A 12,884-nucleotide genomic window follows, 5' to 3' on the forward strand; every position below is an offset into this window, starting at 1 on the left:
TGACTTTAAACAATGAAGCCCTTGAAACATTCAGTCAATACACATCTCAGGGAAGAACAAAGGCAGCATCTGAAAGGAGGATTAGTAAATTACCTGCCTTCAAAACTCAAATAAACTGCACAAAAGCAGTTCTGTAGTTTGGCTGGTAATTCAACAAAGAAAGTCAAATGAAGCCTATAGATCCTGGTTATGCAGAAATATTCAGCAAGCTGAAGGCTGTGATGAAAAGATGTTCAAATAAAGATCATTCCAATGAATATAATTAATAGAGGGCTGATATACATAATGAAAAATTTTAAAAAAACATTGTTTCTGAGTGGTTGACACACAATTGCAACATCACACAATTTGGGATTATAGAAAAATAATTGAATTCAATCTTTTATGGGATTGTACCAAAGTCAGGGTGGGGGGACCTTAAAATTAACTGAGCACCTACTATGCTATTAATGTATTGAGATATGTTATTATTTTTGTTTGTTTGGTTGGTTGGTTTTTGAGATGGAGTCTTGCTCTGTCGCCAGGCTGGAGTACAGTGGCACCATCTTGGCTCACTGCAACCTCCGCCTCTGGGTTCAAGCGATTCTCCTGCCTCAGCCTCCTGGGTAGCTGGGACTACAGGCGTGCAGTGCCATGCCTGGCTAATTTTTGTATTTTTAGTAGAGACGGGATTTTGCCACGTTGGCCAGGATGGTCTCAAACTCCTGACCTCAGGTCATCCGCCCGCGTTGGTCTCCCAAAGTGCTGAGAGTACAGGCATGAGCCACTGCACATGGCCATTATTATTTTTGATCCTTAGCTAACCTGAGAACAACAACAATAAGGAAATTTTGACTCATTGGCTAATGAGAAAGCTTCCTACAGGTCCACACTCTGCTTTTCTACATTTCTCTCCATTTTGTGCTGTATTAGCACAGTTAACAATTAGAAAACCCATAATTGAAAAAGTAGTGACAGTAGCAGGAATAGTAAGGAGAAGAGAAGAAAGCCAGTTATTTTCTTTCTCCTTTTCTTTCCCCTCTAGCATGATGGAGACTGTTAGAACAGTGATCTTCAGGGGATACAGCTTAAACAGAAATAACTATCTAAAGGGTAGAGCCAAACATCAGTTTATAAGACAAACACCTTTATGAGAATCATGCAAGGTTTTTTTTTTTGAGGTAAGGACTATTGAAAAAAAAAAAAGATTATGGGGAGAGTATGGAAATGTATTTGAAGCATAAAGTTAATTTTGGTATGGAAAGTGAATAGTGGGTAACTGTGTCCAGTTGACCTTTCTCTGGCTCAGTCACTGTGTTTTTCAGAAGGCAATAATAAAATCTTTCTTTACCACCTCTCTTAGGATAAGCAGGTTCTTGGATACTTGATGATACGTAAGTCACATTTCCCTTTTTGTATTATCATCATCTCTAGGAATAGAAAGTGATGAATTGCAGGGGTGGTCATGATCTTATTAAATATATTAAGATATTATTAGGTTATAAGCAATAGAATTGGGACAATTTATAATATGGCTTTGAAAGATTATACTTTAAGAATAATAAAAAAAGACATAGAGGTGCAAATTGAGCAAAGAAAGTAGTCAGCAGAAGGTTAGAAGGAAAAGCAAGATCAAAGACTAGGAACAGGTAGAGGATATTGATGTGTTGTAGAGTAGGTAAGCGGACCTGATACAGATTGGATCCCTTGAAAGGAAGGGATAAAATGAGAGTGGGGTTGGAGTAGAGAGGGTACCAATCTAGGTTCACAATGAGAGCATTGTTTCGGAATGGCAGGTAGACTGGCTGAATAAAAAAAGAGTCAATCCAATTACAATGAACAGGTAAAGGTGTAGTCCAGAACCCAGAGTCATGTTCCAAACCCAGATGGTAGCCACCTGCTTATCCCCTCCAAAACCATAGCAAGGTAATAATGTTGTTGACACAGTGGACACTTAAGTTTGTACTGGATTCAATAAAAAAGAATCACATTGCACTTTGTTTTTTTGAGACGGAGTCTTGCTTGGTCACCCAGGCTGGAATGCAGTGGTATGATTTTGTCTCACTGCAACCTCCGTCTTGTGGGTTCAAGCGATTCTCCTGGCTCAGCCTTCCGAGTAGCTGGGACTACAGGCGTGTGCCACCACACCCAGCTAATTTTTGTATTTTTAGTAGAGATGCGATTTCACCATGTTGCCCACGCTGGTCTTGAACTCCTGACCTCAGGCGATCCGCCCACCTCAGCCTCCCAAAGTGCTGGGATTACAGGTGTGAACCGCCGCACCCAGCCCACGTTGCATTTTTAAAAGACAAGAATCTATTAGTATTTGCTTTAACTTGGACTTATCCACTGTAGTTTCCTTCTTAATAAAATAACTTGCACCTCAGAGAAACTAATCCTACTCAACACTTCCTTCTCTGAATTGCTCTCAAAGGTGTAACGCAGACAGGAAACTCTTTTTATCTCCAAGAATCACTTTCACAAACTGAAATGTCTCTTGAATTGAACATTTCCAGCCAAAGCTTTGATTCTCATCGTCTGTTACCTGTCTTGTATTTCAATGACCACTAAATGGGTATCCCTGCTATGACGGCTCACTCCCACCTATTATCCATGTGGTCACCAAAGTATCTTCCTAAAACGTGTACTTGATAATGTCATTTTCCTGTTTAGAAACCATCACTGGTTTCTTTTCTTCTGAGTTGCTCCTTATTTGACCTTAATATTTTTCCAAACACTCTTCCTACCTTCCAGGATGCGCACCTGACCCTCCAGCCCTGATGAAGGCTTCACCAGTGCCCCAAAATGTTGTGTTCCACTATGACTGTGTCTTTGCACATGTGTGTATTTTCTGTCCCATTGACTCCTAAACTCTTAAGCATATTTCAAACTTTACGTCTCCAAAGAAGCCACTTCTATATATGGTAACATTTCCCCCTTGGTACACCCAGGTGATTTAAGACTAATATAAACTCTTGACACCTCTTTCTTTTGGAGACCCCACCTCATATTATATCAAACATATAAAAATGCATCTAAATCCCCCAATAAATGTATTTTCCTGTTGAGATTTTTGTGGAAATTTTTGTAATGGACTTTGAAATTCTTTGGCTGCATATAACTTAAAGTTGTTATGATTTCTCAGCAGTCATTGTGCATATTCAATAATTTTTGTAAACTAAGAGAATCTATCCTTCAAATTGTTTTCAAGTGTAATGAAATGTTTATGAGTGTTGAATTTGACAGTGAATGAAATTGACATAATATGTTTATAGACATCTAATTGAACCTTTGTAAATTTTGACTTAGCAGTTTTAATTTAATATTTTACAGCAGCAATTAGATTTCTTTTTGTCATGACTCAGGTATTTTCTTGGGCTTTCAAAAGGTTCGTTGGCCTCAGCCACTGTGTTTGTAATAATGAGAGAGCTTCCTGTCTCCCATATTGCTAGGTATTGTATAACATTATCTGCCTGTTCAACTAGATTGAGTTTCTCAACATCTTACCCAGTACCATTACCTGACACATAGAAGTGGTTGTATATATCTACATATATATGTAAATGAATATAGATGCCTTAGACATGGATATAGACATATAGACATAGATATAGACAGAGACATATATATCTTGTTTGAAAAAAATTCACTGAAGCTAGGCTGTTTAGTCTATTTGTGTCTACTGGAACTCAGAAGTTCCCGATTGTGAGTTCCAGATCTAGAGCCTAAAATGTTCATTTTTCATTTATGCAAGAAGTCTTCATTTGCTGCTTGTGCTGTATAGATAATTTGCACAATGTCAATTAAAACTTTTTTTGATCAGTGATTTGGCACTTTGTATCAGGCAGTGAATTCTATGGATTGGAATGAATTGTCTTTTCACATATTATTCACTCAAAGATTTTACGAGAAGGCATACATTGGTGTGTTATGCTTGGCGAATGATATATTCTTTCCATCTTATCGTCTTCATACTTTGAAAACATTTCCAAGAAATACTTTTCTAGGTACCATGTGAAACTGACACATGACATAAGCATTATCAAATTTATTTGCCTTATTGCAAAGCGATTCTGTGTCACCACAGTGTAAGCCTTTCAGCAACTAGTGAAGTATCAAAGCTTTTACCATTAAGTGGTTAGTTTACTAACCATTAGATTTTACCATTAGGTGGCTACTTTATATGGAGTTATATAAAAATTTGTCAAATATTCCCTGCTATTAATGAAATCTTAATGACAGAGCTCATACTTTGACATAATTTTTGGCAATGAAAAGTAATTGCAGGTTGTTTGGATAGATACTAATTGAGGTACTACTTTTTTCTCTATGATTTAAGTATAATGTTTACAGTTTTTATGTGGTTCACTTATATATATTTGTCTACTAACATGCAGTGGGCTTTGCAAACTTAAATTCATTTCAATTGAACCATGCTAAAAATATTTCTGAGGTTGTATACTAACCCTCTGAAAGGATCAGGTGAGAATTTGAGGGGAGTAGAGAATTCATCTTGGTATATAGAATAGGTTGTGGGCAGTTGTATGATAACTTCTGCTAATAATATTGAGAATTGAACATCTAAATATTTATAATCAGTACTAATATGATGTTCAGACTTGCCTAGAGTATATTACTTAAGAGTTAGCAAGCAGGGTCCCTTATTTTCCAGCACCTCAAGTTAGTCCATTATGGACAGGCTTTGGCATGTTACTGACTGTTTTTATTACATTTATCAGAACACTCATATCTATTAAGTGTAAAAAGCAAAGGTTAAATAACATTAAGATTATGACACAAATCAACAAAAGAAATTTGAGATGCAAGCCAGTGGCTTCTCTCCCTCTCTCTGTCTTTTTTTTTTTTTTTTTTCTCTTTGCTAGCATAGGCAGAAAGTGAATGAATGAGAAGGTAGCTAGAATTAAGGTAGAATTTCTACTTTCACTTGGTATTTCTGCTATGCATTATTGTTCTTTTCAAGGTGGAAATTAGATGTGTAAATTCCATCCTTCTGTATTAAAAATATTTGAGAGTCGAGGCTTTGGACAATTTCCTATAGACATTTGACTATACATGTGTAGACCCCTCAAGATCTATGAGCACAGGAGATGGGTCTGACTTAGGCACCACTGTATCCCCAGCACCTAGTACACAGTAGACACTCAATAAGTATTGGTGGATTTGTAAATAAGTCTATAAACATATTCTTAGCCACAACTTAACTACTAAAACATATATTTGGGCATGAAATGTACAGCATTAAGCATTAGATGTGGGAAATGCAGTGGCATACCTTATTCAGAGAATAATTATTTTTGCCCTTCTCTGGTTTACAATCTAGTGAGATAAGTAGTCAAAAATTAAACAAATAATCACACGTTAGGTAATTACAAATTATGAGCAGTGTGCTGCAGGAAATACATCAAAACCTTGAGAGATCATTCCAAGGGGTTTTTATTTTTATTGAGGAATCAAAAAAGAGGTCCCTGAGAAGGTGTCATTTAAGCTCAATTGTCCTTTGACAACTAGGAATTCACTCATTGAATGGTAGAGATAAGAACATTCCCAACATAGGGAAAAGCATGTGTAAATGTTCTGTGGCTGGAAAGAACATGGCATCTTCAAGGAATTGAAGGAAGGCAACGTATTCTGTGTAGACCAGAGATGGGGAGGGTGGCATGAATTGAAGAGGGAGGGGAGGGAAAATGCTTGGAATTTGAGTGTCATGCTAAAGCTTTGGGATTGGATTCTAAGATTTATGAGTAAATATTGAATGAATTTATGCACATACGTAGGAGTTATGTCACCTATTTTGGATTTAATAGGGAGCCTTGTAGCAGCTTTGTGAAGATGGAGTGGAGGGAGACTAGAGAGGAAATAAGATATCATTGAGGAAGCAATCACAGTACTCTAGGAAAGAGATGATGGTGGCTTGGACCAAGAGAGTGATCTTAGAGGTAGAGAGAAGTTGGCAGACTTGAGTCACAATTTGAAGATAGAACCAATACAACTTTCTGTTATTGGTAGAGAAATATTGGAGGAGAGGAAGGTATCAAGGACAACTGCTGGATTTATATGAACATCTGAGTGAAAATAAATGTTTTATTTAATAAGAGGTAAGAGGAATATATCTTGAGGAGACATCTAAAGTTTGAGATTATTGTGAGATTTTTTTTTTCTCAAGTGTATACATCATGCAGGAAATGGAGGTTAGAAAAAAGTCTAGATTGGAGATAAAAATTTGGGAAAAGCCAACATTGGAAACATGCGATTGGTATAATTCCTTAGGGAAAGACTGTGGCGTAAAAAGATAAGGAATCACAGAATTGTGTACTGACATAACTCAGGTTAACAGAGAAACAGGAAACTGGTTAAAAAAAAACAATTGCCAAAAATGTTTATGCCTTCATGGAATGGATGGAACTTAGGGACCCCAATTCAATGACTCTTAACCTGGGGCTCATGGTATCCTAGAGGATGTCCTCAAATAGGATTCAGGGAGTCTTCGCCATGTGACAGTCATATGAAAAGTTCTGTAGATTTGTACTTGGATCATTTCCTAATACTAATATTAACCCATGAAAACTCTCTAGGTGTCTGTTGCCTCGAGTTCCTTGACTTCTTCTATTTTTCCAAATCTTACTTAAATTTTTTCATCCTTCAGAATAGAGGAAGCTCTCAATTTATGTATTCCTGTCTAGAGAGATAATTTGCAAAACACGCTTCTGAATAAACAAATATATTCTTATGCAAGTGATGGACCGGTAATTTATTAGGAAAACCACCCAGGCTCCAGGGCTTCTGCTTTTTGGAAAATTAGTGAACTATACTACTCATGCAATTTTATAAACACCGTTTTTAAAAACTCCCAGAACTGTTTTTCCCTTACAGATTGAAGCATATCAAATGCTTAGAATATATGCTTTATATGCTGTGGAGAGACATATAAAGCTTTATGTGTCTCTATAAGCATATCACATTCTAAGTATGTGATATGTTTCTAACTACGTGACTTACATATACTTAGAATGTGATGGTGTGTGTGTGTGTGTGTGTTTATAAAAGGGATGGAGATATATGTATTTCCCCACCTATTTTTTTTGCAGAAACTTCTAAGTGCTGCTGTATTTCACCAAGCTCCAGTTGATATCCAAATTGGACAACTCCTGTGTGCCAGGACAATGTGCTAGGCTTGCTTTAAAATGATACATACAAATAAGATAAAGCAAAGAGACTTGGCTTTAACATTCAGTAAAACAATAATGTGTTTCTTAATAATAAACATTTGCACGTAAATGCGTCCCATTTTAAGAAAAAGATACTTTACCTATGCTGTTTGTAAGTTATGTTTCCTTATAAATTCTATTTTCTTAGCAACTCTCTCTAGTTTCAGAGATGTCTTTCTACTTCCCCTTTGTTTCTCGTGGTGAATAGCAATAAATCAGCTTCATGCTTATTGCCATGATGATAAATCTGCATGAGTATAAAAGGAATTGAGGACATGTACGTTATAGAATTGTACTGATATGTACTTTTTAAATTATTTATTTATTTATTTATTTTTTGAGGCAGAGTCTCACTCTGTCGCCCAGGCTGGAGTTCAGTGGCATGATTTTGGCTCACCGCAACCTCTACCTCCCGGGTTCAAGCAATTCTCCTCCCTCAGCCTTCCAAGTAGCTGGGATTACAGCATCCACCACCACGCCTAGCTAATTTTTGTATTTTTAGAAGAGAAAGGGTTTCACTATGTTGGCCAGGCTGGTCTTGAATACCTGACCTCAGGTGATCCACCCACCTTGGCCTCCCAAAGTGCTAGGATTACAGGCGTGAGCCACTGCGTCCAGCCCTGATATGTACTTTATATGAACATATTCATTCATTTAAAAATTATTATTGAATACCTACTAGTTGCTTATCATTTTATAAAGTATAGGACATAGAGCCTGCCGTCAGTGAACTTCTAATCATGTGGGAAATGCAGACAATAAACAAATGATGCAAAATTTATATTTAACTTATAAATATAAAAAAAGTATGTTTTAGTGTATATAATGTGTCAGTTTTTGAGTGTTAAATTTGACAGTGAATGAAATTGACATAGCATACTTATAGACATCTGATTGAACCTTTGTAAATTTTGACTTAGGAGTTTTGATTAAATATTTTACAGCAGCAATTAGATTTTTTTAAAATCACAACTCAGATATTTTCTTGGACTTTCAAAAAGTTCATTGGCCTCAGCCACTGTGTTTATAATAATGAGAGAGCTTCCTGTCTCATGTTGCTGGGTATCGTATGACATTATCTGCCTGTTCAATTTGACTGAGTTTCTCAACATTTTATATTATTATTATATTTATATATTGTATTTATATACCAAGAGCACCAGACCCGTGAGAGAGGCCATCCTAGATCAGCCAGGTCCAGCCCAGCTGTGCCAGACCAGGAGATCCATCCAACCAACCCATAGAATTATGAGAAATAGTAAATATTTTTCTTTTAAAGACCCTAAGTTTTGGTATAATTTGTTACATACTAAACTTTACAGCAGACTTTATTTCAGATATTGGATTTCTGTCCCTCTTAGCTTGCCTTAGCTTCCTAGATAGATGTCATATTTCATACCAAAGAACAGACAAATTACATCACTTGTGTATTATGTATTTATGATGATGACAAAAGGGAAAAAGAGTAAAATGTTTCCCTCACTTCATTCCTATATTTGCTCAAATGTTACTCTCTCCAATAACCCAACCTAAAAAATAATATACTTAGCCCACCATCACTGCCTCTTACCCTGTCATTTTCTTTTATGGTATATATCACTACCTACTATGATTATGATGTAAATTTCCATCATAACATACACACACACACACACCCACACACACACACACACACAAACACAAACTTATATACATACCATATGGTATGTGGTGCTTAATTTTTTGTGTCAACTTGGCTGTGCTATGGTGCTCAGTTGTCATTGTATTAAGCCATGACAACTTTGGAGCTCTTTCTTACTGCACCAAAGCTGATGAATAAATTAGTACTGGTAGTAAAGTGCTGCTATGTCAACATCAACAGTAACAACTTAAATTATATGACACTGACTTTAGGGTTGAGCAGCAGAAGGCCAGGAGATTGTTATTGGAGGCTAGAAAAAAATGGTAGCTTGTACTGTGAAGAGGCAAAACATTTAGTATAACTGTCATTTGTTATAACTTGGTAGGCAAGTCGTCTGCCCAATGACTCTGTGACTTTTAGAAAATATGCTTAAAGATACAATACACAAGTTTCCTTTGGTTGTAATTAACTGGATTTGACAAGATATTACCAGAAAGAGATGAGTTCAGAAAATGATTGTCTGTTTGTAACAGCAGTGAAAGGAAAAAGTGGATTTTAGGAACTAAAGGATGCACCTGTCTCTCACTTTCAACCAGTAAAAGGTAAAGTTGAAAAATGATTTGAACAACAAAGGCAAATTAAAAGCCCTCCCTGGAGCAAAGATTGAATCAAGAGTATGGCTGTTATGCTTCTGTTAAAACCTCTGAATCAGTTAAGAGGTAAGTGAGTAAGCCCTTTCAAGGCACAAAATGACTCAGGAAGAAAGAAACTAAGGGCATCATCCCATGGAGACTTGATTAGCTCTCTAGAGAGAGGAAGGCCTGGAATAGAATTAGAAGTATGGTTATTGACATATGAAGATGGCTGGAGTCAAACAAAGAAACAAAACCAACAGGAGCAAAGCTTTTCAGAGAGTTGCACTGTCAAAAGCACTGGCAGCTTGAATGCAGTCTTTGAACAGATTGTTGCTGTTCAAAATGTAAAATGACCTTTCAGTGCATGCTTCTCTACAGGGTGGAGTGAGGGTTGAGGGTGGATTCTTATTCAGCTATGCCCAGGGAGGATAATGCAACAAGAAGGACCTCCCAGACTTCAGAATTGCTTTGGACCAGTGTAATGTGTGGCTCTTTTTCCCCCTTCCAAAAGGGAGTAAATTTGTTTATGGTCTTTTTGGCAAATATGCATCAGGTGTATGGTGAACAATCTGTTTTTTGTTTTTAGTTCAATTAAGTGGACTGTATTAGTTTGTTCTCACACTGCTATGAAGAAATACCCCAGACAGTAATTTATAAAGAAAAGAGGTTTAATTGACTCACAGTCCTGCATGGCTGGGGAGGACTCAGGAAACTTACAATCATGGGGGAAGGGGAAGCAAACGTCCTTTTTTACAAGACGGCAGGAGAGAGAAGTGCAGAGCAAAGAAGGAAAAGCCCCTTATAAAACCATCAGATCTCGTGAGAACTCACCATCATGAAAACAGCATGGGGGTGGGGGGGTGGGTAACCTCCCCCATGATTCAGTTACCTCCCACTGTGTCCCTCTCACGACACATGGGGATTATGGGAACTACAATTCAAGATAAGATTTGGGTGGGGACACAGCAAACAATATCATGGAGCCACAGCTATTCATGTTATAAATCAAGAGATCCAAGAATTCATCCCAATGCCAATTGGTTACTTTTAGAGTGTATTCCATGGATGGAGGTTGAGTGAATTTTGCTTTCATTAAGGATGTAGGTATTTGTGACTGTGTCAGTAGACTGCAACAGATTGTATTATTGCTCCCAGTGATGTGCTTCTCCCCTCCCTGCAAAGTGATTATACATCCTCAGCATTGCTGTTTCTGTGGGAAAGTGTACATCCTGCCCCACTGCTGTTGGGATTGATCATGGGATGTATTTTGGCCAATCAGTATATGCAAGCTTAGTTTAGGCCACATCCTATCAGAAGTTTTAGAGATATCATAAGTTTCCTCTAATTCTCTTTCTTACTCTTTTCCCTTTGCCATAAGAAACGTATGTCTCAACAGGGCCTGATTATTCACCTGGGCAACAGAATCCAAGAACATAGGCCACAGAGGCACAGTAGCTGACCCACAGCCTCTAACGTGTAAAGTGAGTGAGAAGTAAATATTATTATAAGCTACTGAAATTTGGTGTGGTATGTTACTCTCTAAAGCTGACACTGTGGGAATGAATTATTTTTAGAGAACCAGGACTCAGGACAACCATTTTGAGCCTGAAAAACTCTACATGTATTTTGAATAATAAGAATAGTAATTTTTCCCAGGACAAATACCATTTTTCTCTGTATGATATTTCAACCTTGCTCTTTTTTTTCAGATAAGAGGTTTTATTTCTTTATTAATTTTTGTTTCTTTCCTGACACATTTGTTTCCCCAGCTTCCTATGTAAGCTGTCTCATTTTCTCCGAAGCCATGTGCTTGTTTTGCAGTATCATGTGGAAGAAATATTTGAAGGATTTAGACTAATTTTAAATCCTGCTTCTGCTGCTTGCCAGGAGCATGTCAACAGGGCCACCAAGATGACACTGAGGCCCCTACCCAGCATCCCAAAGGCAGTATCACAGCAAAAGGTGGTTGCCCAATATGTGTAACTGCTATATTTTTTCCTCTAGAGACAACTTTGTATGCTTTGTAATCTGTGTGAATGTTTAAGACTATCTCAAACTCCTTACTTTCCCACTATCAGCCTCATTATGAATATTATATAAGGAACATTTCAAAACTTCCTTTCTTCCTGAAATAACCTTTTAAAAGGGTATCTCTTCACCTCCATTCTCAGTGTGCAGATCTGTTCAGTTTTGAAAGCCTTAAAATGTTTCAAAGGGTTCATTTGTTTTGAGGACTTCCTTTGGATAGATAGAGGGATGTAGAACATTTCCTGTCTCCTCATTGTTCAAGCTACCTGCTTTCATTTATCACAGTCTGCTTGAGAGGGTCTATCTTTATACATATACACACACACACACACACACACACACACACACACATACACACATATGTATCTATACACATATGTATATATATGTATCTATATGTATATACATATATGTATATATATAATTCCTACATATTTATATATATAAAACAAGATATATATATATATATGTCTCTGTTGTTTTCGTCAGTCCAGTTTCGTTATAAGAAATAGTGTAGTGGTAGCTTCTAGCTATTTGGTGTGTTTGGTTCTAGAATTTAGAGTCCTTTTATTTCTTCCTGATGAAGGCTTTTATTCTGGGGTAAATCTTAGTCTATTGAGTCCTTGTATCCATGTTTCTTTCTTTTTTCTTGCTTGCTTTATTAGCTCTGGAGTCCTCATGACTCATCCCTGTCAATACGCTCAGAAGATTCTGGTGAGATGCCCAGTCCCTCAGTACCAATGCCTCTTTCTACAGTGAGGCAGTGGGAAAAAGTGTATTTGGGGCCAGAGGAGAGTAAAACCTCAAGTTTCACAGCAGGATTTTTGGTTTTAACTCTGAGACTACCACTGTGCTCCTTTCAACAAGTCACTGCCCTTCCTCAGTCTGTTTTGTCTTTTATACCATAGGTGAATCCCAGGAATTTATGAGACTGCAAAAAAAAGTAATTTTCTAATAGTTCACTTAAATATGTCATTATACACACACACACACACACACACACACACACGAAGGTTTATATTTTGACTCAGTTAATGACTGTTTTTTTTTCTTAATGAGAAAACCATATAATGGTTTAGTCCCCGCTTCTTTGCCTATTTAGACTTAGATTATATTTTCATGTAACACGTGAATTCAGCTATACTCCTTTAGCAGAAATAGACATAAAGAGAGACATGCAGATAAGTAGACAAAGATGGATACATCTCCTTCATCAATAGAAGCAATAGTAATATACTTCAATACTTAAATGTTTGACTTGCTGAGAGATGATATATCAGCCACTTCCTAAAGAAAGTTCAAAGGTAGATTTTAATCTTGTGAAATGTTTACCTGCTCAGGGCGGGCCCTAATCCTATGTGGGATGTAGGTCCTTTGCACTGCATTTGGCGCTGG

The 12,884-nt window shown here is 37.1% G+C and overlaps 1 long non-coding RNA gene across 7 annotated transcripts in view; it reads left to right on the forward strand.

The window, feature by feature from the left end:
* Window positions 1-12,884, forward strand: part of LOC105374524 (uncharacterized) — a 507,306-nt gene that overhangs the window by 51,222 nt on the left and 443,200 nt on the right. For 2 of the 7 annotated variants that reach the window (XR_925471.3, XR_007058437.1), the window contains exons 4-7: window positions 7,086-7,162; window positions 9,423-9,545; window positions 10,840-10,942; window positions 11,231-11,423. The exons of the other annotated variants lie outside the window; for them this stretch is intronic. This is a non-coding gene — a long non-coding RNA (uncharacterized LOC105374524). The remainder of the gene's footprint in view (window positions 1-7,085; window positions 7,163-9,422; window positions 9,546-10,839; window positions 10,943-11,230; window positions 11,424-12,884) is intronic. 7 annotated transcript variants of the gene reach the window in all.

This window comes from Homo sapiens, chromosome 4, assembly GCF_000001405.40.
Source record: "Homo sapiens chromosome 4, GRCh38.p14 Primary Assembly".
NCBI lineage: Eukaryota > Metazoa > Chordata > Mammalia > Primates > Hominidae > Homo > Homo sapiens.